This window comes from Homo sapiens, chromosome 8 (assembly GCF_000001405.40).
Source record: "Homo sapiens chromosome 8, GRCh38.p14 Primary Assembly".
In the NCBI taxonomy this organism is placed as follows: Eukaryota; Metazoa; Chordata; class Mammalia; order Primates; family Hominidae; genus Homo; species Homo sapiens.
The window spans coordinates 97,849,787-97,871,559 of record NC_000008.11 but is presented as its reverse complement, the minus strand read 5'-3'; the positions used below and the strand labels follow the sequence as shown (position 1 = coordinate 97,871,559).

Here is a 21,773-nt window from a genome sequence, read left to right as displayed (position 1 = left end):
AGCTTCCCTAGAAGACGGGGAATCCCTGGAAGGGACGCTCCTGCAGGTGCTACAGATCAGAGGGCAGTGAGTGCCAGGGGCAGCACTAGAGGCTCTCTGCCAACTTGACTGGTCTTAAACCACTCACCTCTCCTACTGCTTGCCCAGCCTCATACCCAACACCTTGCTCAGGCCAGCGTTAGACCTGTCACACCCTCTTCGGCCTGCTTTTCCTGAGGCCTAAGCCGGTCTCTCCCCCTTTTAGTCTCCCCACCTCACTCCTTGCCCTCTCTTAGGTGCCAGTCAGAACTGTTTCTAAATAAACTGTAGAATTATTTTTCCAGAACCTCCAATGGCTCTCTTATTTCAAAGAGCAAACATCTCTCCTTTTCTTTAAATCTCAGGCCACACTTTTAACTACCTTTTGCTAAACAAGGACATATGGCACTCGCTGATAAGAGCTTAGGGCATGACAGCTGCTCGAGGGTGTTTCAGATTTGGACTCTGCTCTGACACCTCCAACAAGCAAGCTTAGGCCTTGGTGGCCCTGGGTTGCCTGGGAACAAGAAACCCCAGAGCCCCGATTTATAGAAGACAGTGTCCTGGTAACTCGGGGGCCTGAGATTGAATTCTATTGGCAGAAATAAAAGTAAAAAGTGTGGACAGATAGGAAAATGCAAGGTGAAGAGCCATAAGTATCTCATTCTCCACAGAGGATTCTAAGTGCCAAGTTTCAGGGACTGAGAGGAAACATTCCAGGTCATAAACCCATGTTGGTATTTTGACATGGTTTTATGAGGTTGGCCCTTTGGGAGCAAGCAGGGAGAACTGCGCCCGTGTGGACTCCTGCATGGAACTACCAGTTGCATACACGTGGCTTATCTGCCACCCTCACGTACCCATGGAGAGCCTCTCTTTCTGAACTGGGGAAGAGGTACATTCACTGCTCATAGCAGCTCCTTGCTATTTCTGCAAAGACAAGCCATGGAACTCACCTAATCTTAGAATGCTCCTGGAAATGTTCTAAGGACTTTACTTGCCATATCTTTTTTTTTTTCTTTTGAGACGGAGTTTAGCTCTTGTTGCCCAGGCTGGAGTGCAATGGCACCATCTCCGCTCACTGCAATCTCTGCCTCCTGGGTTCAACCGATTCTCCTGCCTCAACCTCCCGAGTAGCTGGGATTACAGGCATGCGCCACCAAGTCCGGCTAATTTTGTATTTTTAGTAGAGACGGGGTTTCTCCATGTTGGTCAGGCTGGTCTCGAACTCCCGACCTCAGGTGATCCGCCCGCCCCGGCTTCCCAAAGTGCTGGGATGACAGCCCTGAGCCACCGTGCCCGGCCGCCATATCTCATTTAATCCTCACAGTTCTGTGGGTATTACCATCCTCATTAGACAGATGAGGAAACTGAGGCATACTTGGGTACCTTCAAGTTATCAACCCTGTAAACTTCACAGCTGGGGTTGAAACCCAAGCAGGCTGACCCCAGTCTCTGCTCTCGACCACGGGTCCCTGAAGTCTCTTGACTGCCCCATTCCTTAAAGGCCGATTTTAAGTGTGCTTGGTGCAGATGCATTGTGGCTTCCTGATTTATGACAAATTGAAACTTGGTCAATTGGGTTTGTTCAGGGTGGGCGCGAGTGTCCCTGAGGAGAGCACTTTCCTGTGCCCCCAGTCCTGGAGACCCTACCAGGGACAGTCCCCATTTCTCTGTCCTCTCCCCAAACGGCTCCAAATTGTTCTGGGGTTTCTAGCAACTACCACAAAATGCCTTCCCCTTTCTCTCCCTCTTCCACAATATAGGGAAGCTGGAGGTTTAGCTGCCATAGAGACCCAAGAACAAAATCCAGATGACACGGGCATGAAAATACCAGGTTCCGAAGAGGGAAGGGGGAGCCATCGGCTGTCCGTGGAATAGGAATCACCCTGCATACCCGCTCAACAGGTCTCCCTTTCCCTGGGTCGCGGTGGCCGGGGTCTGGGCGTCCCCGCTGCGTGCCACAGCGCCCCCACGGGGCACTCCGGGGCGGCTGCAGCGCGGCTTGTCCTGCGCAGGGAGCGCGCCCAGCTCTCCCGGCCGAGGGGTCGGGCAGCGCCGCCCTCCCTCTCCCCCTGTCCTCGGAGGGGTCGAAGGCGCCGGGGCCCCGGGGCGCTGGGGGCTGCAGTGCGGGCCTGGGGAGGGCGCCTGCGCGTCGGGCAGCCCAGGCTCGGTATTCTGTCGGTGGGTCGGTCCGCCTGCACTTCGAGGCCGCCCGGCCGCGCAGAGCCGGGGGAAAGCGCGCCGCGCTCACCTGCAGCCGCCGGCGCCTGGGAAGCGAGGCAGGGGCGCAGCCACCCGGGTCTTCCTCGTCGGCCTCTTCGCCTCGCCGAGGGCCGCGGCTCTCCTCGGGGATCGCTCGTGGGAGGCGAGGACGGAGCCCCAGCTTCTGCCTCTGCCTCTGTCTCCGCCGCCGCCGCTTGCTCCAAGTCCCATCCCAGAGCGCTCCCTTCGCTCGCTGGCTGCCTGGGAGGCGCTGGGCAAGGGCGGGCGGCTGGGGAGGCGGTGCCGCGGCGGGGGTGGGGAGCGGGCCGGGCGGAAGGAGGGGTGTCCTCTTTGGGGATGGGGAAGGCGCGGAGAGGGAGCGGCGGCGAGGGCGGCCCCACCCTGTGGGCAGCCCCGGGAGCTGGGCACTCTGGCGGCGCGCCCTGCCTGCTGCCACCTGGCTCCACTCCGTCCGTGCCTGAGCCCAGGCGGGCATCAGACTCCAGGGGTCCGGAGCCGCAGGCACGGAACACAGGCAGCTTTAGGGGCCTGTCGGGTTGGGAGTGCGGGGAGGGGTCTTCTGGGGGAAAGGAGACATGGCAGGAATCTTACATCTAGAACTTGGGGTCATGACCTGCGGGACGCACCCACTGACGCGGGGATGGAGAAAAAAGTGGTGAGAATTGGGCTAATTGATGACAAGCGCCAAGAGCTGTCTTGCCAGTGCCCAGAGCACCCCACCAGTGCCAGTTCATATTAACAGAGCGTCCACTGGCTGGGGACCAGGCCCCGGGATGGGGAGGAGGTAAAGATGCCAGGATGGAGAGGAGACAAAATTCCTACCCCGAGGGAGCAGGGAAAGTCTAGTTCAGACAAGACTTTTGAAATTATGAGCAGAGACATTTGCAACTTTGCAGAATGGAGGAACCTCACCTTGGATGTCCCCATGGAGCCTTGGAGGGATGCAGAAGACAGGATTGGCCAGCGACAGTCAAAGTGGCCGGCACCCCCCTCTACCAGCTCCCCAGTTCCTGGAGGCTGGGGTGAGTGGATGTATAACAGACCAGGACATCTCCTATAAAGCTCCAAAATTCTGTTCCCAAACCACTAGCCAACGCACCCAGTTCAGGTTTTGTGTTTTTGTTTGTTTGTTTGTTTTTTGAGACGGAGTCGCCCAGGCTGGAGTGCAGTGGCGCAATCTTGGCTTACTGCAAGCTCTGCCTCCCGGATTCACGCCATTCTCCTGCCTCAGAGTAGCTGGGACTACAGGCTCCCGCCACCACGGCCGGCTAATTTTTTTTGTATTTTCAGTAGAGACGGGGTTTCACCGTGTTAGCCAGGATGGTGTCGATCTCCTGACCTCGTGATCCGCCCGCCTCGGCCTCCCAAAGTGCTGGGATTACAGGCGTGAGCCACTGCGCCCGGCCCCAGTTCAGGTTTTAACAAGCTACCAGCAGAGGCAGCAGCACTAACTAGTTTCAAAACCTCTGGATGTGCCACAGTCTGATAATTTGGTGCTTTGGGCGGACTTTGTTTTGTAATTAACCATCATTCCTATTTGATGATAGAGTTGATTTCTGAAATATGAATAAACGCCAAAATCAATTCTTCAGAAAAGCTCCAGGAGGGGTAATTAAAATTCCAGCCATGAAGCAAGGGGTTAACATACTCGAGCCATCAGGCAAGTCAATGATACCTTAATACCAAGAAAGAATTGTGGATTCCTGTTCCTTTACCCAGTACCTTAGGCCCACTGGGCACTCTTGGCTGCCTGCACTGATCACAAATAGTTTTTTTGTTATGTCTTTGGGAGGAGGTAGGTGGAGGTCAGAAAGCAGAGGAAAGTCTTCAGGAAATGTTTGGTCTCTGAAGTCTTGGATCCCATAGAAGAAAATTCTTCCTGAGTCTGGGCCAGTGAAAATCCCCTAGGAACTTGGGAAGTTGAGCTACAGTTTATGGAAACTTAAATTTAAAATGTGTTGACTTATTCCAAGACACCAGTGTGATCCAGTAATTTACCAGGAAAACAATAACAATCCCCAAACCCTTCCAAATTGTAAGGAAATTGTAATTTAGTAACTGATTCCAGTGACTCTGGTGTATGCCAATTAAAATGGGTGTTTTCCCCCCAGGGAGTTCTATTGGAATTCTTCAGAATAGTTAATCTATGTACAAATTACACTTGGGGCCAAGTCAAATAGGTTAAATGAGTTGTTCTACCTTGTGGGATGATCTTCAGGTCTGCCAGAAAAAAATGAAGGAAAAGCAAGTTCAATGTCCTGAAATATAAAGGCAGAACAAACAATGAAATGATTTCTGGGTTACCTTCAGGATGAATTGCAAGTTGATAATTAAGACTATAGATTAGGAAAAGGCCAAAATTGCCTTTTCTGCTAGAGGTCCTGCCATGTGCTAGATGTACAGAGAACCTTATTCAGAAGTGTGGGTTTAAGATTTTTAGTTCTGGGACTGGGCGATGGCTCACACCTGTAATCCCAGCACTTTGGGAGGCTGAGGCGAACTGATCACTTGAGGTCAGGAGTTCTAGACCAGCCTGGTCAACATGGTGAAACCCCGTCTCTACTAAAAATACAAAAGGTAGCCGGGTGTGGTAGTGGGCGCCTATAATCCCAGCTACTCAGGAGGCTATAATCCCAGCAACTCAGGAGAATCGCTTGAACCTGGGAGGCGGAGGTTGCAGTGAGCTGAGATTGTGCCACTGCACTCCAGCCTGGGCAACAAAACTAGAGTCCATCTCAAAAAATAAAAATTAAGAATAATAATAATAATAATAATACAAAAATTATCTGGGTGTAGTGGCATACGCCTGTAATCTCAGCTACTCGGGAGCCTGAGGCTGGAGAATCACTTAAACATGGGAGGCAGAAGTCGCAATGAGCCGAGGTTGCACCACTGCACTCCAGACTGGGTGACAGAGTGAGACTCTGTCCCAGAAAGAAAAAAAACAGATTTTCAGTTCTTATGTGGGCACTCATGTAAGCAGACAAAAATGAGGTATGTATTATCTGAGAACTCCTAAGAGCTCACAAGTTAACTGGAATTGGTATCTGTTTAAACTAATCACAACCTGAGTAGCTATACTTGGGATCAACTCTCAGTTCTCGATCTCCACGTAGTCTATTGTGGAGTAAGGATTTGGGTCAGGAGAGTCATTTGACCCAGGCCTCACACTCGTGAACAGCCTCGAATATAGACTTTAAACATAAGCATCCCTTTGCTCCTTGTAAACATTAGAACTTTTTGTTTTGCATTAGAATCCTTCTTACTTGAGACCTAGCTATCTGGCCTAGAGGGCAGATTGAAATGAGACTGTCAAATCCAAAGGGGACCAGAGTACAGTATAAGGAAACTGAAGAAGAAACAGGTTGCCTCACGGACCTATAAACCTAAAATAAAGCTCTACTGAATGCATGAGGAGACATGTAAAATTGCAATGTCATCTCACGTGCACTGTTTCCCTAGGTGACAGACAGTGTTTGAGTCCTATGTAAACTATTAGAGCTCCTCCCTGTCTCCCTCAAGTAGAAGGCCAGGAGAGGAAACATCTTCATATCCGGCCAGCTGCCCATTTGTTGGAGCTGGAGATGCAGGGTTAAGGGAATGTTCCAAGGTAGTGGATGAGCTTGGACTCCAGCCCAGGGAGGGGAACCCTGTAGGCAGGGCAGAGCTCCCTTTGGGATACCCCATCTACATGGACAGTTGGGTCCATGTCCAGAGGGTTCCTTTGAGGACAGGCTGACTGATGGCACCATTGTCCCAGGTGACATAATTTCTTTTTTTTCTTTTTGGCATATGAACATTTATTACTACAGTGTTTTCACCATTAAAATTTATGATCTTGGTCTTTCCTTCTTGCCTTTGTATAGGGCCAAAAGAAAGACACAGGCTACTTTGACAACCTGAAAGCGAACTCCAGAAATATCACCAACAGCATGACCTTTTTGACCAAATCCAGCAACCAGAGCTTTATGGTTTTCCACAATAAGGTTCAAGCAACCATCACTGAATACAAAGGCTGTGATTTTCTTGCCATCCTTGATCCACTGGACCCTGACACACTTCCTAATGGCAGAATTTGGCTTTTTGGCTTCAACTCCTACTTTTCCCAGCACAATTCCTTTTGCATGAGAAGCACCTCCAAAAGGGTTGGCCTTCAGGGCTGTGCCCAAATGGGCTTTCTTGTACTGTTTATCATGCCACTTCTGATCTTGTTGGTGACTACAGAGACTCCTAGCAGTATGAGGTCCACGACACTTGCCCATCCTGCAGTGCTACGGGCCTGAGCAAAAGAGAGAAGCAGCTGTCCCAGGTGAAGTAATTTCTAAATAAACATATCCCATCTTGGAAAGACAGGATGAAAGTGATCAGGAAAAAAACTACAGCAAGTTGAAAATTTGTTCAAGAAAACAATACTCATTTCAAAGGGGACTCAAATGTTTTTATGTGATTTTGACTTGGACCATGAGCTCCTGAGGACAGGGACTGGGCCTTTTGCTTATTTATAGATCTTGCCCTATGCCATGCTGTAGAAGGGACTGGGTTACACCGGCTCTAACCAGGATTTTAGAGCCTTGTAGTTTTGTGGAATCAGATTGATGCAGCTTCCTATCAAGGATGAGATAAGGCCTGGCACAGTGGCTCATGCCTGTCATGTCAGCCCTTTGGGAGACCTAGGCAGGAGGATCACTTGAGCGCAGGAGTTTGAGACCAGCCTGAGCAACACAGTGAGACCCCATCTCTGCAAAAAATTTAATAATTAGCTGGATTAATTTTTTAAAAATTTAAAAATTAGCCTCCCAGCAATTTGGGAGGCTGAGATGGGAGGATCACTTGAGCTGGGGAGGTCGAGGCTGCCATGAGCTGTGATTGCACCACTGCACTCCAGACTCCAGCCTAAGCAACAGAGCAAGACCCCGTCTCAGATTTTAAAAGAGAGATAATAGGCAGTTGCAGTTGGCTGTAGTCCCAGCTACTTGAGAAGCTGAGACAGGAGGATCCCTTGAGCCCAGGAGTGTGAGCCTGGCTTGGGCAACACAGCAAGACCCCATCTCTACAAAAAAAAAAAAAAAAATTAATGTAAAGAATGAGATAATAAAGTGGGGAGCCTTAATGCATAGGCAATAGTGAGCACAAATATGATTTGTTTTCTTGGATACTGACAAGGCTGAAACACTGCCTGTCTACCTGCAGACTAGGTTTCACTTTGGAAATGGAGGATGGACCTGCTATTTATGGAAGCATCGCTCAGCAACACAGATTGCTGCTGCTTTCATTCCTAAACCTAGAAATTGGCACAAAGTGGTCGGCTATTAGGAGCCGATAGCCTCATCCTTGTGACACTCAACTAACTACCTTCTCTCAAGGATATTAATGAGTCTATGTCTGCATGGGATGCCTGGTGTTAAATCAGTTTGCCAGACACTTGGGCAATGTCTATGTGCATCTATTCTATAAAATCCCCCAGCCCGCTGGCAGAGCTCAATAAATGGGGATTCAAGAATAACAAAAATAGGCCGAGTGTGGTGGCTCACGCCTGTAATCCCAGTACTTTAGGAGGCCGAGGTGGGTGAATCACTTGAGGTCAGGAGTTCGAGACCAGCCTGGCCAACATGGTAAAACCCTGTCTCTATTAACAATACAAAATTAGCCTGGCGTGGCGGCACAAGCCAGCAGTCCCAGCTACTCAGGAGGCTGAGGCAGGAGAATCACTTGAGCCTGGAAGGCAGAGGTTGCAATGAGTCAAGATCGTGTCATTGCACTCCAACCTGGGTGACCGAGTGAGACTCCATCTCAAAATAAAGAAAAAAAAGAAAAGAAATTCAGCAAATGAAATGCAAACTCTATACTCTAAAAGCTGCAAACATTATTGAAAGAAATTACAGAAGATCTAAACAAATGGAAAGACATTCCATATTCATGGATTGGAAGACTTAATAAAATGGCAGTATCCCCAAATTGATCTACAGATTCAACATAATTCCTACTGAAATCACAGAGGCTTCTTTGCAGAAACTGACAGGTTGATGCTAATAGCCAAAATAATCTTGAAAGAAAAAGAACAAAGTCTGAAGGCCGGGTGCAGTGACTCATACCTGTAATCTCAGTGCTTTGGAAGGTTGAGGTGGAAGGATTGCTTGAGGCCAGGAGTTAGAGACCAGCCTGGGCAGTATAACAAGACTCCTGTCTCTATAAAACATTAAAAAAAAAATTAACCAGGCATGGTGGCGCATGTCTGTAATCCCAGTTACTCAGAGAGGCTGAGGTGGGAGGATCACTTGAGCCAAGGAGTTTGAGGCTGCCGTGAGCCGTGATCGTGCCACTCTCCCCTGGGTGACAGTGTGAGACAGTATCTGAAGAAAAAAAAAATTCATTTCCACTGCAGAAATTGCCTGCAGTGGGAATTTCTGTGCTTGAGTCTATGGTACCTGCCACAGGGGAATTTACATTGCTTTTACTATTGGAATTTTGTGATCTTCTTATAAAGGATTAAAGACAAACAAGGTTTATCATGTATGGTCTTACAGGGATTTCATTTAAATCTGAAGTGACCAGGAAGTAGGTGAACAGGTCACTATCTTTAAGTTGCATAGTAGCTGTTGAGAATTCCCCCCCATTTATCCAAGGTCTCAGGGTTCCACCAAGGTCTTAGATTTGGTCATTTATTGCTTTAACAACGATTTACTAGGAAAGGGAAAAGAGAAAGCTCCTAAGAGGAGACACATCTAGCAATTTAATTTTGTATTCAGATTCCTACTGAATTAAGCTCACGTGAATGGGACTTGATCACAAGAATAGTAAGAACTAAGAATGCTGGTTTCCTTTTGATTTCAAATTTAGGCAGACTATTAGGTAGCCTCTCATCTTAGCGGGACTTTAATCTTTCTTCGGAAAGCAATCCTTTTATTACTGTGTTGCTGTTATCACCTTTACAACTTTCTTCTAAAAGTCGACACTCCCCTAAAAGCCCCCCAGCCCAGTACACACTACTCCAGCTGTGGCTTTGGCAGGGTTGCTGGAGCAGTGACCTTCCCGCGGTCTCCTTGCATCATCTATAGGAATGAATGAATTCTTTTCTTTTTCTTTTTTTTTTTTTTTTGCTTTTCTTTTTTCTTTTCTTTTTTTTTTTTTTTTTCTGAGACAGGGTCTCACTCTGCTGTCCAGGCTAGAGGGCAGTGGTATTATGATGACTCACTGCAGCGTCAACCTTTCAGGCTCAGGTGATTCTCCCACCTCAGCCACCCAAGTAGCTGGGACCACAAGCATGTGCCACCACGACTGGCTAATTTTTGTATTTTTAGTAGAGACAGGGTTTTGCCATGTTGGCCAGGCTGGTCTCGAACTCCTGGCCTCAAATGATCTGCCCACCTCGGCCTCCCAAAGTGCTGGGATCATAGGCGTGAGCCACCACGCCCGGTGGAATGGAATTTTTTTCTAGTAGGCTCTTCTGAATTGTCTCTATGGAACTTGAGCTCCACTGAGTTGCTTTTAAAAATTTGTTGCAGTCACTGGGATGGGATTACAGCTGGCTTTAATTCTCCTTATGTGCTTATTTTATTTTATTCTAGTAAATATGTTTTGAGTTCCTTCTATCTGCCAGACATGTGCCATACACGAACAGAGCAATAAGTAACACATAGACTCTCTGTGAGTTTATAATCTACTGGGGGACTATCGACAAGAAAAGCAGTAACCATAGAGCGGAAGATATACCTTGATTGGGGATGCTGAGGATGCCATGGAAGAACATAAAATGAATGCCACCCAGGGCCAGGCGCAGCGGCTCACGCCTGTAATCCCAGCACTTTGGGAGGCCAAGGGGGTTGGATCACTTGAGGCCAGGAGTTCAAGACCAGCCTGGCCAACATGGCAAAACCCCATCTCTACTAAAAATTCAAAAATTAGCTGGGCATGGTGGTGCACACCTGTGGTCCCAGCTACTCAGGAGGCTGAGGTGGGAGGATCACTTGAACCGGGGAGGCGGAGGTTGCAGTGAGCTGAGATCGCGCCACTGCACTCCAACCTGGGCGACAGAGCGAGAGACTCCATCTCAAAAAGAAAAAAAAAAAAAAAAAATGCCACTCAGATTGGTAGGCCATAGGCTTCTAGAAGGAAGTCATTTTCAGATGGAGACCAAAAGGATGTTATTGGCTTTATTTTCTGTTCCTTCTTGCAATCCATTACTTATGTAATTTTATTGAAACCTATGAGTTTGCAATGTGTCTTGATGCCCAGCTCATACCTGGATTTTGTATTAAGATGTTTAAGGAAGTTTAACTCTCAGGGACACAGATGATACAATGCATTAACTTCAACAGGGGAAAAAAAAAAAAGCTTACACTCCCATGGGAATTGACTACTCTTTTCTGTCTCTATTGGATAGGTGTGAAAATAGACAGCGATACTGGCTTTCTGGGGCAGGGGCAGGGACAATTCCTCAAAAGGAAATTGCTCCCTTAAAAACAACCACTCTAAAAGGCCCACCTCTGTTGATCCCTCTTCCTGCCTGAATACATTCTTTATAACAATGAAAAGCTGATATTTGCAGAGCATTTTCCAGTCTAATTAAATGGGAAACTGACAGCTTTACTTATGTTAACACGAACTTCAAGTTGAAGATCCACCCCAAGTTTACAGTTTACACAGCTTTGCACAACCTGCTTTCCTTCTTGGGATGTATTAATTCAAATTAGTAGAAATTGATGATTGTTAAGAAGCAAGAAGTTATATGTACAGAATTCTGAAATTCTAGATGTCTCAAAGAAATGCATTACCTACTTTGATGTATTCAATCTGCATTCAAGTCCTCTGCCACTTACTAGGTGACTTTGGCCCAGTTAATTACCTCTGAAACCCTCGGTTTCCTCACCTGTAAAATGGGGATAGAGTTAATAATATATCTAAGCATGTCTGCATACAGGAAGGGCTCAGTAAATGGTAAATGTTATGCTACCTCATAAAAGGGTAGAAGCCACAGGGAAAGAAAGAGGGGCGAAGTGAAGAGGACCTGTGATCTTAAGTCAGGAAGACGGGAACACAACGGAGACACATTAAATCAACAGGAGGAGATCTGGGGAAAAGGGAGGACAATTTTCCATTTTGGACACCATGAATATGAAATGTCAACAGGTCGTCAAGATAGAGAAGACTGGGATTTAGAGCTGCTATTATTATTTACTGAAGGCAACTAAATATAGGAAAGGTAAATTTAATAAAGACCTACAGTTAAAAACAAGTCAAGGAACACCCTGTGAAGTAAAATAGAGAAAAAGAGTAATTTGAAATACATTCCTTGGCCAGGTATGGTGGCTCATGCCTATAATCCCAACAGGCCGAGGCAGAGGATCACTTGAGCCAAGGAGTTCAAGACCAGCCTGGGCAATTTAGTGAGATCCTGTCTCTGAATTAAAAAAAAAAAAAAAAGAGAAAAGAAAAGAAATACATTCCTTTAGTTAAAATGAATAAAATGGATATCACACAAAGGCCACCACACTGGGTGCAAGGGGCGTCCCTGCCACATGAGACAACACGGTCCTTTATGCTGTTGCTGGTCACAGACAGCAGACCCATTGCTCCTTGTCTTCCCAGAGCCAGGGCTTTCCTTAGGCACAGGTGAAGACTCATCTGCCCCTGAGTAGGCCTAGCTTGGACATCCCCATCTAGGAGCCCAGAAATTGGAACGTGTCACTTGGATAGCAGGGGCTGAGACACCGCAGCCCAGACCTGTGACTAGTAAGTAGCAGCCAAGATGATGCCACACTCAATCCTAGCCTTTCCTTAGAGAAACGCGGCTCCAACCCTCATTGCTGGTGAACTATGTGCATCCTACCCTTAATCACAGTTCCTCACAAAACTACCTTTGCTCTATTGAAGAAATATACCTGCTACATGTTGACATACATCAAGGGATATATAATTTTTATTTCCTGGGTTAAGAGGTTTCCATCTTAATAAAAATTGTGTTTACACTATTATAATGATTAAAAAAAAAAAAAAAAAAGGCCAGGCTCACTGTAATCCCAGCACTTTGGGAGGCCAAGGCAGGTGGATCATGAGGTCAAGAGATCAAGACCATCCTGGCCAACATAGTGAAGCTTCGTCTCTACTAAAAATACAAAAATTAGCTGGGCGTGGTGGCGCATGCCTGTACTCTCAGCTACTCAGGGGGCTGAGACAGGAGAATTGCTTGAACCTGGGAGGCAGAGGTTGCAGTGAGCTGAGATCATGTCACTGCACGCCAGCCTGGAGACACAGCAGACTCCAGCTCAAAAAAACAAACAAACAAAACAAGCTGTATCTACTTCTGCTGCTCCTGGTTTGGTGCAGACCTGATACCTCTTTTGTGAAACAGCAGCTGAGGAGATGCTGGCCATGGCCAACGAAAAGCCCAAGGAAAGAGTCAAGACAGGGCCGGGCGTGGTGGCTCATGCCTGTAATCCCAGCACTTTGGGAGGCCAAGGCGGACGGATCATCTGACGTCAGCAGTTCGAGACCAGCCTGGCCAGCATGGTGAAACCCCATCTCTACTAAAAATACAAAAATTAGCCAGGTGTGATAGCAGGTGCCTGTAATCCCAGCTACTCAGGAAGCTGAGGCAGGAGAATCGCTTGAACCTGGGAGGTGGAGGTTGCAGTGAGCCTAGATTGTGCCATTGCACTCCAGCCTGGGTGACAGGGCAAGACTCTGTCTCAAAAAACAAAAACAAACAAACAAAAAAAACACTGCACTTGGCCTGTGGTGCAGTTTAAGAGGCATACACCACTTAGTAAACTAGGCCAGGTGCAGTTTCTCATGCTATAATCCCAGCACTTTGGGAGGCCAAAGTGGCCAGTTCACTTGAGGCCAGGAGTTCGAGACAAGCCTGGCCAACATGGCGAAACCCTGTCTCTACTAAAAATACAAAAATTAGCCGGGCGTGGTGGTGCGCATCTGTAATCCCAGCTACTCGGAAGGCTGAGGCACGAGAATCGCCTAAACCTGGGAGGCGGAGGTTGCAACGAGCTGAGATCGTGCCACTGCATTCCATCCTGGGTGATAGAGAATCTGTCTCAAAAAAAAAAAAAAAACACCCCAAAAAACAGAAAACAAAAAGGAAAGAGGCATACACCTTAGTAAACTAACGGGAGCCTATTGTGAAGGACAGGGTTTGTCAATGAGGCAGATCAGACTCCAATTTGATAGGCACCAGTGAAACAGACACACTTGCACAGTTGGAAAAGGAGGATGAAGATACAATTGATGTGTTGCAGCAGCAGACAGGAGGTGTCTACTGGAAAGGGAACCTGCTTCTTTACTCCAGAACTCTGTTCTTAGAGACCAAGATTATATTCCCAATTAGGAAACTGCAATGTGGTTCCACCACATCCTGACTACTACAGTATAGGTTTCTCTATTCCTTCATTTCCCCCTTCCCCATTCCTTTACTGTACATGAAGTAATTGCTACGTGTGCACAAGCACGTTCATTTTTTTCTTTTTGAGACAGGGTCTCACTCTGTCACCCAGGCTGGAGTGCAATGGCACAATCTTAGCTCACTGCAACCTCCACCTCCAAGGCTCAAGCAATTCTCCCAGCTCAGGCTCCTGAGTAGCTGGGACTAAAGGCTGTCCACCATAACCGGCTAAATTTTTTTGTACTTTTTGTAGAGACAAGGTTTCGTCATATTGCCTAAGCTAGTCTCGAACTCCCAAGCTCAAGTGATCCACCCACCTCCCAAAGTGCGGGCATTATGGGCATGAGACACCACGTCCCACCTGTTGCGTTTTTTAAAAACTGAACAGCCGCTATGTTTTGATTGACATCAAGTGGAAATGGGATGGGGAAAAATATTGTTTCTGTGAAAATACCCTTTCTCCACTGTGGCATGCTCATTCAACTCTTTATATTCCTGCAAGTTATTTTGTTCTTGTTTAAACAACAAAAACACAAAAATCCTGCATACCTTGTTCAACTGGAGAATTTTAATTGTAAAACCAATGACAATTTTATAACTTTCTTGTATGTAGCTGTTACATGTAGGGCAATCTGTCTTTAAGTAGGGATAAATTACTCTAAAAAAAAGAATCCTAGATAGTTTTCGTTTTCCCTTCAAGCCAAGCATCTTGTTTAAATAAACTTTTTTGTTGTTGTTGTTGTTTTTAAAGCATATCTAAGTTTTAGGTGGAATAAAACAAAACTTGAGTCTGTTGTGCTGTTTTAAGCCAAATTCTTCATTCTACAGCAGCAGCTGCTCTTGCTGGTAAGGGTCACATAGATGGGTATATGGTGCTAAGACTAACTTTTTCTGGGTTGGCCAACCGACAGCTTCTCGCCTGCTGTCTTAGTACTCTAGTTGGCAGAAGGCCTGCATGGGCTTCTGGGCAGAAGGTTGCAGATCTGGCTGGTTTCCATACACTATGAGCCATTTAGCAGAAAACTTGGCCAGTGTGCAGAAACACTTTAAGTGATTCCATGGGTGTGGAGACATCCTTGTAATGCCTTCTTTTTCCTTCCCCTTTAAAACATGTATCTGAGCTGCCAAACGCCCCTTTTATATGGGCCATGGGCACTATTTTTGGTGTTTGTTAGGCCTGAAGGGGGAGCCTTGAAAAGCCTTAGCCTGCACTTTCTGCTGGCAGTTCTTTTGCATGAGTTGCTCTTTCAACACCTTGGCAAAGACACCTGCTCTGTCCCCTCCAGAACTCCAGACTGCCCACATGACCAGCACCAATGCAGTTTAATGATATTTAAGTCAGTTTCCAGACTGGCTGTAAAACCTAAACACATCTATAAAAAACAAAGACAGAAAGTACATGTTTCTATAGTCTCATTAGTTTTCCTCTGTCACAAAAAAATGCTCACTTCGCACAGCAAGATTTTCCTCAAATGATGAATACTTCAAATACAATACATCCCTCTATGGAGAAAACTTTAATGGTTACAGTTTATACAGATGGTCTATTGAGATCATCCATAATCAGTATTGTTGGTTAATGAACTGAGGGTAGAGGAAAGACAAATGGAATGAGATGTGGTTTGGTTAAGCAGTCAAACTACACAAATATGTTTAGGGGTAGAGTAAAAAATAGGAAGGGGGCGGAAAGGCTTGGAAAGGCTTGGAGTAGGAGAAATTTCTTTCTTCCTTTTCCCTCCCTCTCTCCCTTTTCTTTCTCTCTCTCTTCTTCTTTCCCCCCTCCTCCTCCTCCCCCCCCCATAAAAAACGGGGAGGGGGCAAAAAGGCTCAGAGTAGGGGAAGTTTCTTTCCCTCCCTCCCTCCCTCCCTCCTTTCCTTTCCTTTCTATTTGTTCGAGCCCAGGCTGGAGTGAAGTGGCACAATCTTGGCTCACTGCAACTTCAGCCTCCCTGGCTGAAGTGATTCTCATGCCTCAGCCTCCCGAGTAGCTGGGATTGCAGGTGCGTGCCACCACGCCCAGCTAATTTTTCTATTTTTAGTAGAGACAGGTTTCACCATGTTGGCCAGGCTGGTCTCAAACTCCTGACCTCAAATGATTCGCCTACCTCGGCCTCCTAAAGTGCTGAGATTACAGGTGTGAGTCACCGCGCCTGGCCATTTCTTGCATTCTTGAGGATGGAAAGGAAGGGGGCAGGAACAAGGATATCAGACTCTGGAGGAGCTGCCGCATGTAGTATTCATGTAGGAAGAGGGTGCAGGAAGGAGAGGGACTATTGGCCTTAAGCCTCTTTTACATAAGTTGGCATCCTGGAAATCTGACTAGCTTGTTCAACGGAAGCTGTTTCTAGGGTGGACAGACCACAATTTAAGTCAAAGGGTGTGTATGTTTTCCTCTTCCTTCTACCCCAGCAAACAGACTTGAAAAACTGCAGGAATAACTGCTTGTTTCTCTGTGGACAACAAAATAGGAGAAAGCGGCTAGATATCAAAATGGATTTGAAATACATTGAAAAGTGAGGCATTTATCTGGATTAGCAATGAGACAAAAAGATACAGTGAACTGCTAAGGCACATAATGTGCTCTGCTAGGTCATTTTAATCCAACATCACACCCTTCCCATAGTGGAGACAAGAAGGGAACAATTTCTTACTTTGCAGAAGTAAATATGGAGGCAGCTCTTGACCTTAGCCTGGGTTATGCAACAAGTCAGGAAAAGCCAGCATCACCAGCACTATATGGGATCTCTGAGAACGAAGGGATATCTCAAGAGTCTGTGATGCTATTTGAGTGCTGCATGAACGAGATCAGCAGTCTTGTTTTCTCTCCAAGAACCCTATGACTCTCAAAATCAGCACTTCCTTCCATTTGACCATGCATCTTTTTTTTTTTTTTTTTCCTGAGATGGAGTCTGGCTCTGTTGCCCAAGCTGGAGTGCAGTGGTGCAATCTCAGCTCACTGCAACCTCTACCTCCTGGGCTCAAATTATTCTCCTGCCTCAGCCTCCCAAGTAGCTGAGATTACAGATGTGCACCACCATGCCCAGATAATTTTTGTGTCTTTAGTAGAAATGGGCTTTTCCCATGCTGGCCAGCTGGGCTGGTCTCGAACGCCTGACCTCAGATGATCCACCCACTTTGGCCTCCCAAAGTGTTGGGATTATAGCCATGAGCCACTGTGCCTGGCCTGACCATGTATCATTTTTCATACTGCAAAAATGATTAGGCAAAGAGCTATAAAATCATGGGGAACAACATGCAATTAACTGTGATTTCCTATGTCCCTTCCCCAGGGATCATGAAACTATCTGATAGGGCTTTTCCATTCTTTTTGTTTCAAGACAGTGTCTCAGTCTGTCCTTCAGGCTGAAGTGCAAGTAGCATAATCACGGCCACAGTTCACTGCAGCCTCAACCTCCTGGGCTCAAGTTATCTTTCCATCTCAGCCTCCTGAGTAGCTGGGACCACAGGCACATGCCATCGTGCCCAGCTAATTTTTAAATTTTGCACAGAGATGAAGTCTCACTATGTTGCCCAGGCTGGTCTCTAACTTCTGAGCTCAAGCGATCCTCCTGTCTCCTTCTTCCAAGGTGCTGGGATTATAGGCATGAGCCACTGCCCCTGGTGCCCTCTCCATTTCTAGTAACCCATGTGTTTAACTTTGTGTCAGTCTTCTAGACATAAAGCTTCAAGAAACAGAATTACTTAGGTAGAGTTTATAAAGAATGCCAATGAGATACACCAAAAGAAATAACTGATTCTTTGGGATAAAAATCCCCCTTCCTTCCTCTCTTAATCACCCTTGGAATGTAGCAAAAATCTTAACTGCTTATTAAAAGTACACAATGGACATAAAGCAACCATATGCAAAACAACTGAATGCATGGTTAGGAATGTTGGAAGCTCGAGTCTGTTTGTCCCCCATTCCTCTTGGCCTAAAACGCTGATTTTATCAGGACTGGGATATTAAAAACACTGTGTGTAAAACAAGCCATAAAGCCTACTCCTGCTCTCCGTGCAATGCTGGAAAGTCTCAAAGTCGCCACAGGTGCAGGTTGGGATGGGAGGCACCAAGGAAACATGCCCCTGATTCAGTGTCTCCGCTTAGCTGTAACAACATGTTAATCAGAACTGCCTGGCATCTTCCTGAACAAGACTTTCAATAGGGCCCAGTATGCTTCGCTTCATCCAGAAGTTTTCTCAAGCATCTTCAAAGATGCTGAAGTACTCTTTCCCAGTGGGACTAAGAACCAGCAGAACAAATATACTTTCTCTCAAGATGTCTCTCCAGAACTTTTCCCCATTTCCAAGGCCTTGGCTTTCCTCATCATTTCCAGTGCATATGAGCAAGACACAGTGCTATCATACATCCCCCTGCAGCTTTAAAAAGAAGCAGAAGCAAGCACTTCCAGCCAGGCCACCAAGCACCATCACTTACCTAACTGACAGCCCAAAGCCAGCATTATATGTAACTCTGGCAGGACTAATCCCCTTCGTTGCCCCACCACTGGTCATGCTGATGACAAAAACTTATATTCCCATATTAGCTTTTACTCAGATGGCTTATGGAGCCAGTTTCCATCTTTCTTGGGTGGGATCAGATGCGGTTTTGCTCTACCAGAAGGTAGTCCAGCCAAACCAGACTACCTTAATTTAGCTAGCAGTACAGCTCCTCTTTTCTTTTCATGGTTTGCCTTCTTATTTCTGAAAGACTTAGTGAAGCCATAGTCACAGTAATAATGGGTATGCGGGTAGCATTACACCTTCAACTTTTTCTCTTACCACATTATCCCAACTGGTTTAAAGCCCTGAAGATAGTAGTCACTTTACTGGCCACTTTTTCATTTATAATCACTTTAGTAGTTAAAAACAGTTTTCCAGAAAAAGGACATAAGAGACCTGGTCAAGTATAAAAAATCTAAAAATACACTGTAGATAACATTTGTATGCCGGCTACACCTTTTTCTACTTCTGTTTGGCTTTTTTCCCCCACACCAATGGTAATTTATTCTCCACGGATTGTTCTTCATTTCTAGAAATTGTTATTTCATAGTAATTACTTGAGCAAAAGCTTGAAAATCCCTGACAAGTACTTTTCATCTCATAGTGTATTAGTTTTCACTCAGTCATTTTATGAATAATATAGTTATCCACTTAAACATTTCAATATTTTAACCATCTTGAAAATTAAAAGATTAAAAATCCCCCCCACCCGACCTCCCCCCCCCAAAAAAAAGCCTACTCCTTAGGCTGAACTGGGTGCATCTGCCAGACCATATGTGGAGGGAAAGGTCCTCAGACACAATCAGCACAAAATCACAAGGTCATCTTGGATGTGGGCAAACCTTGTTTTAATTGCAAACAACTTAATTTACAGCACATTCAATAATGAACCAACAGGAGAGTTGCTGACTTTGTAACATATGAATATATAAAAATCCCTTGCAATTCAGGTAGTCAAGGTAAAAAGCGCATACAAGGAAGGCAATCCTCATTTTTCTGAAAATGTTTACATTTTAAAAGGTGACTAGACATACTTGGAAGTTCAAAGCAGTAGGATGTAGCTTGCAGGGAAAAGAAAACCCTTTTCCATGTTGTTAGGCAGAAGTATATCAAATATATCCCAATTCCACTTGATAAAGTCAGTTGGATGACCTCCTTGAACCAATCTAGGGCAGAACACTTAGTAAAAGCGGGCCCTGGGTGGGGATGTGAATCCAGGAGAAGAGGGGCACCAGATCCCATGCAGCGCCAAACACATCCATTCCACCCTCTAACACATACGAGGCATGTCACCCCATGTCCCTGGACACAAGATCCACAAGAACAGTCAGCAGATGGTCACTGCTCCCACGGCCTGGTGCTTTCTAATGGTCTTAATTCAGGCCATGGAGAAAATCCTTTACCACCAAACACAAACTGTCATTGAACTTCAGTCATAAAGGATGTTGTGGGGGAAATTCTTGTAACACATACATAAGGACTTCTATTTACCTAATTAGAACAATGATTACACAATTGACATTCCTGTTTCCATAAGGTTTTGTTCTCTATGCTGGAATGGCTGAAGAAAAAGTTGTCTATTTTTGGTTTTATTTTACATTTTCAAAAGAGAGGGAACAGAGAGAAAAATGCCCAACTTTGGGGCCCAGCAGGTACAAAAGCAGACTTCTAGGTCCATCAGATTTGGGGGAAGTTTCAATGCCTAGGGAAGGTTAGTGAAGCCCATTATATCCCCAATCGTACAGGAAGAATTCTACAGTTAATCTATCACAGTGTTCCAGCAAAGCATATGTTGAAAACTACAGTTTTCAATCTAACATCTAAATTTTAAAAAGTAGCATTTCAGCAACAAACAAGCTCAGAGAGGCTCATGGCAAAAGTGAAATAACAGAACTATTGCTCAGATGTCTGCAAAGTCAAGCTGCTGCCCTCAGCTCCGCCCACTTGAAGGCTTAGGCAGACACGTAAGGTGGCGGTGGCTCCTTGGCAGCACCATTCACAGTGGCATCATCATACGGGGGTAGCAGCACCTGAGAAGAAAGAGGGACGGCAAGAGTTAATGTTTGAAGAGCACACACGTTCCCCGAGGTTTAGCTTTTACTGAACTTTTATGCAACTAAACATGTTCCACAACTTGTACCAAGTTCAATTTTCTAGCAAGTGGATACACTTCATTAAAAGACTTTTTGAATCCTTAAAGGAGCAAATGGAGAGCGACTCTCAAGCCTTGAGTTTTTCTAACCCTGTCCATGTGTAGCTGGATGGCCAGAGGTCGGTGACTCTAAAAGAAATGGTGATGGCTCTGAAGAGGAAAAAAGACCCCTAGGTGAGTGTGTCCATGTGCACACACAAATAGGGCAGGCACTTGATTGACTACAGTAACCACTCATGGTGAGAACTGCAAAGTGCAGTGAAAACGCCAAGCTTTTGGTATCAGCCTGGATTCAAAGCCTGGGTCAGTCACATTTTATCAGCGTAGCCTTGGGTAAGTTCCTTAACATCAGTTTCCATGTCTATGAAATAAGGATACCTCAGAGTTGGCGGTCTATACACTGGCTGATTTCGGCTTTCTTGGAGTAGAAAATGGAATACAGAATAGTTATATCACCCTTCATTCAGTAAACTAACATTTATTATGCATCTAGTATGTAATAGTCATTGTGAGTATAAGATAATTGAGACAAAAGACAGTCCCTGCCCTTTAGGAGTTCAGAGATGAGAAGACAAAACAAAACCTCACCCACCTCAAGTGATTTGTGGAAAGGGAAAGACTATTCACAAACAAAACCACACTTGGTTAGATTTTCTATCAGGGATATCACTTATGCTTAAAGTGGTATTCATCAATTTTGTTAATTTTCATTTATCTGTCCCTTTAGCTCCTACTAGAACCACACTAAAATTTTGTTAAGTTTTTGTCACATTGCACTCTCCCAAACACACACACACACACACACACACCCCTCCTCTCCAGCTCTACACACTTCATTACTTCTCTCCTCCCAGTCTTGGAGCTCCTGTGGGGCTGAAGCCAGGTCTCACTTCCTCGAGGGTGGGCCAGTGCCTATCCGACAGCAGGAACTCAGATGTTTGCGGAGTGACGGAGGTGCCACTTAGGCCGGCCCCCGAAAAGCCTGTATGGTTCCTTCAGCTGCCTAGGCAGAGGGCACCTGTACTGGCTAGGGTCCAGTCAGAACACAGAAGCCACACAGTGATGTGAATATAGTTTCATGAAGAATTATTAACAGGAGACTGAGGAACCGGGAACTGACTCATGGCGGGGAAAGAGCACTAATGGATAAGAAGATTGAAGTACGGCACTCAGGGACGGAACAAGCTAGAACAGAGGTCCCCAAGGCTGGGCTGAGACACGGCTAGGGAGGGTGTGGCTGAAGCCCATTGGACAGTGGAGAGGCTTCCCGCTGAACCAGGTAGAGGCCAGTGTGCACAGAATCACCTGCGGGAAGCCGTTCCCGGGAGCCACGGCCCGCTCTGGAAACCGCCTGAGAGGCGCTGCCACCGCTGTCTCCGCTCGCACTGGGCCCTGGGGAGCACTGCCAGCAAGATCTGAACACTGCAGAAACACACAGGAACCGGGGGCGGGCAGGCGGGCAGGGGGGTGGAGGAGGGGGGGTGGCGG

The 21,773-nt window shown here is 46.3% G+C and overlaps 2 protein-coding genes and 3 pseudogenes across 5 annotated transcripts in view, besides 1 other annotated feature; 2 read left to right on the top strand and 3 right to left on the bottom strand.

Annotated features, from left to right (window-relative positions):
* Positions 1-2,496, bottom strand: part of MATN2 (matrilin 2) — a 167,661-nt gene extending 165,165 nt beyond the window's left edge. For all 4 annotated transcript variants that reach the window (NM_002380.5, NM_030583.4, XM_005250920.3 and 1 more), the window contains exon 1: positions 2,273-2,496. The gene's annotated coding sequence lies outside the window, so the exon portion shown is untranslated. The remainder of the gene's footprint in view (positions 1-2,272) is intronic.
* Positions 2,896-3,395: an enhancer, noted in NCBI's record as "H3K4me1 hESC enhancer chr8:98880393-98880892 (GRCh37/hg19 assembly coordinates)". NCBI's record gives its function as "activates a minimal SCP1, AML or CMV promoter by ChIP-STARR-seq in naive H9 embryonic stem cells {active_cell/tissue: H9 hESC(naive)}" and the evidence as "EXISTENCE:reporter gene assay evidence [ECO:0000049][PMID:30033119]".
* On the bottom strand, positions 6,027-6,536 carry RPS23P1 (ribosomal protein S23 pseudogene 1; annotated as a pseudogene).
* Positions 12,557-13,711, top strand: SUMO2P18 (SUMO2 pseudogene 18; annotated as a pseudogene).
* On the top strand, positions 17,635-18,738 carry TMEM69P1 (TMEM69 pseudogene 1; annotated as a pseudogene).
* LAPTM4B (lysosomal protein transmembrane 4 beta) overlaps positions 18,547-21,773 on the bottom strand; it is a 77,226-nt gene continuing 73,999 nt past the window's right edge. The window contains exon 7 of the mRNA NM_018407.6: positions 18,547-20,163. Within this exon, the coding sequence (NP_060877.4) occupies positions 20,086-20,163 (78 nt within the window). The 3' untranslated portion in view covers positions 18,547-20,085. The remainder of the gene's footprint in view (positions 20,164-21,773) is intronic.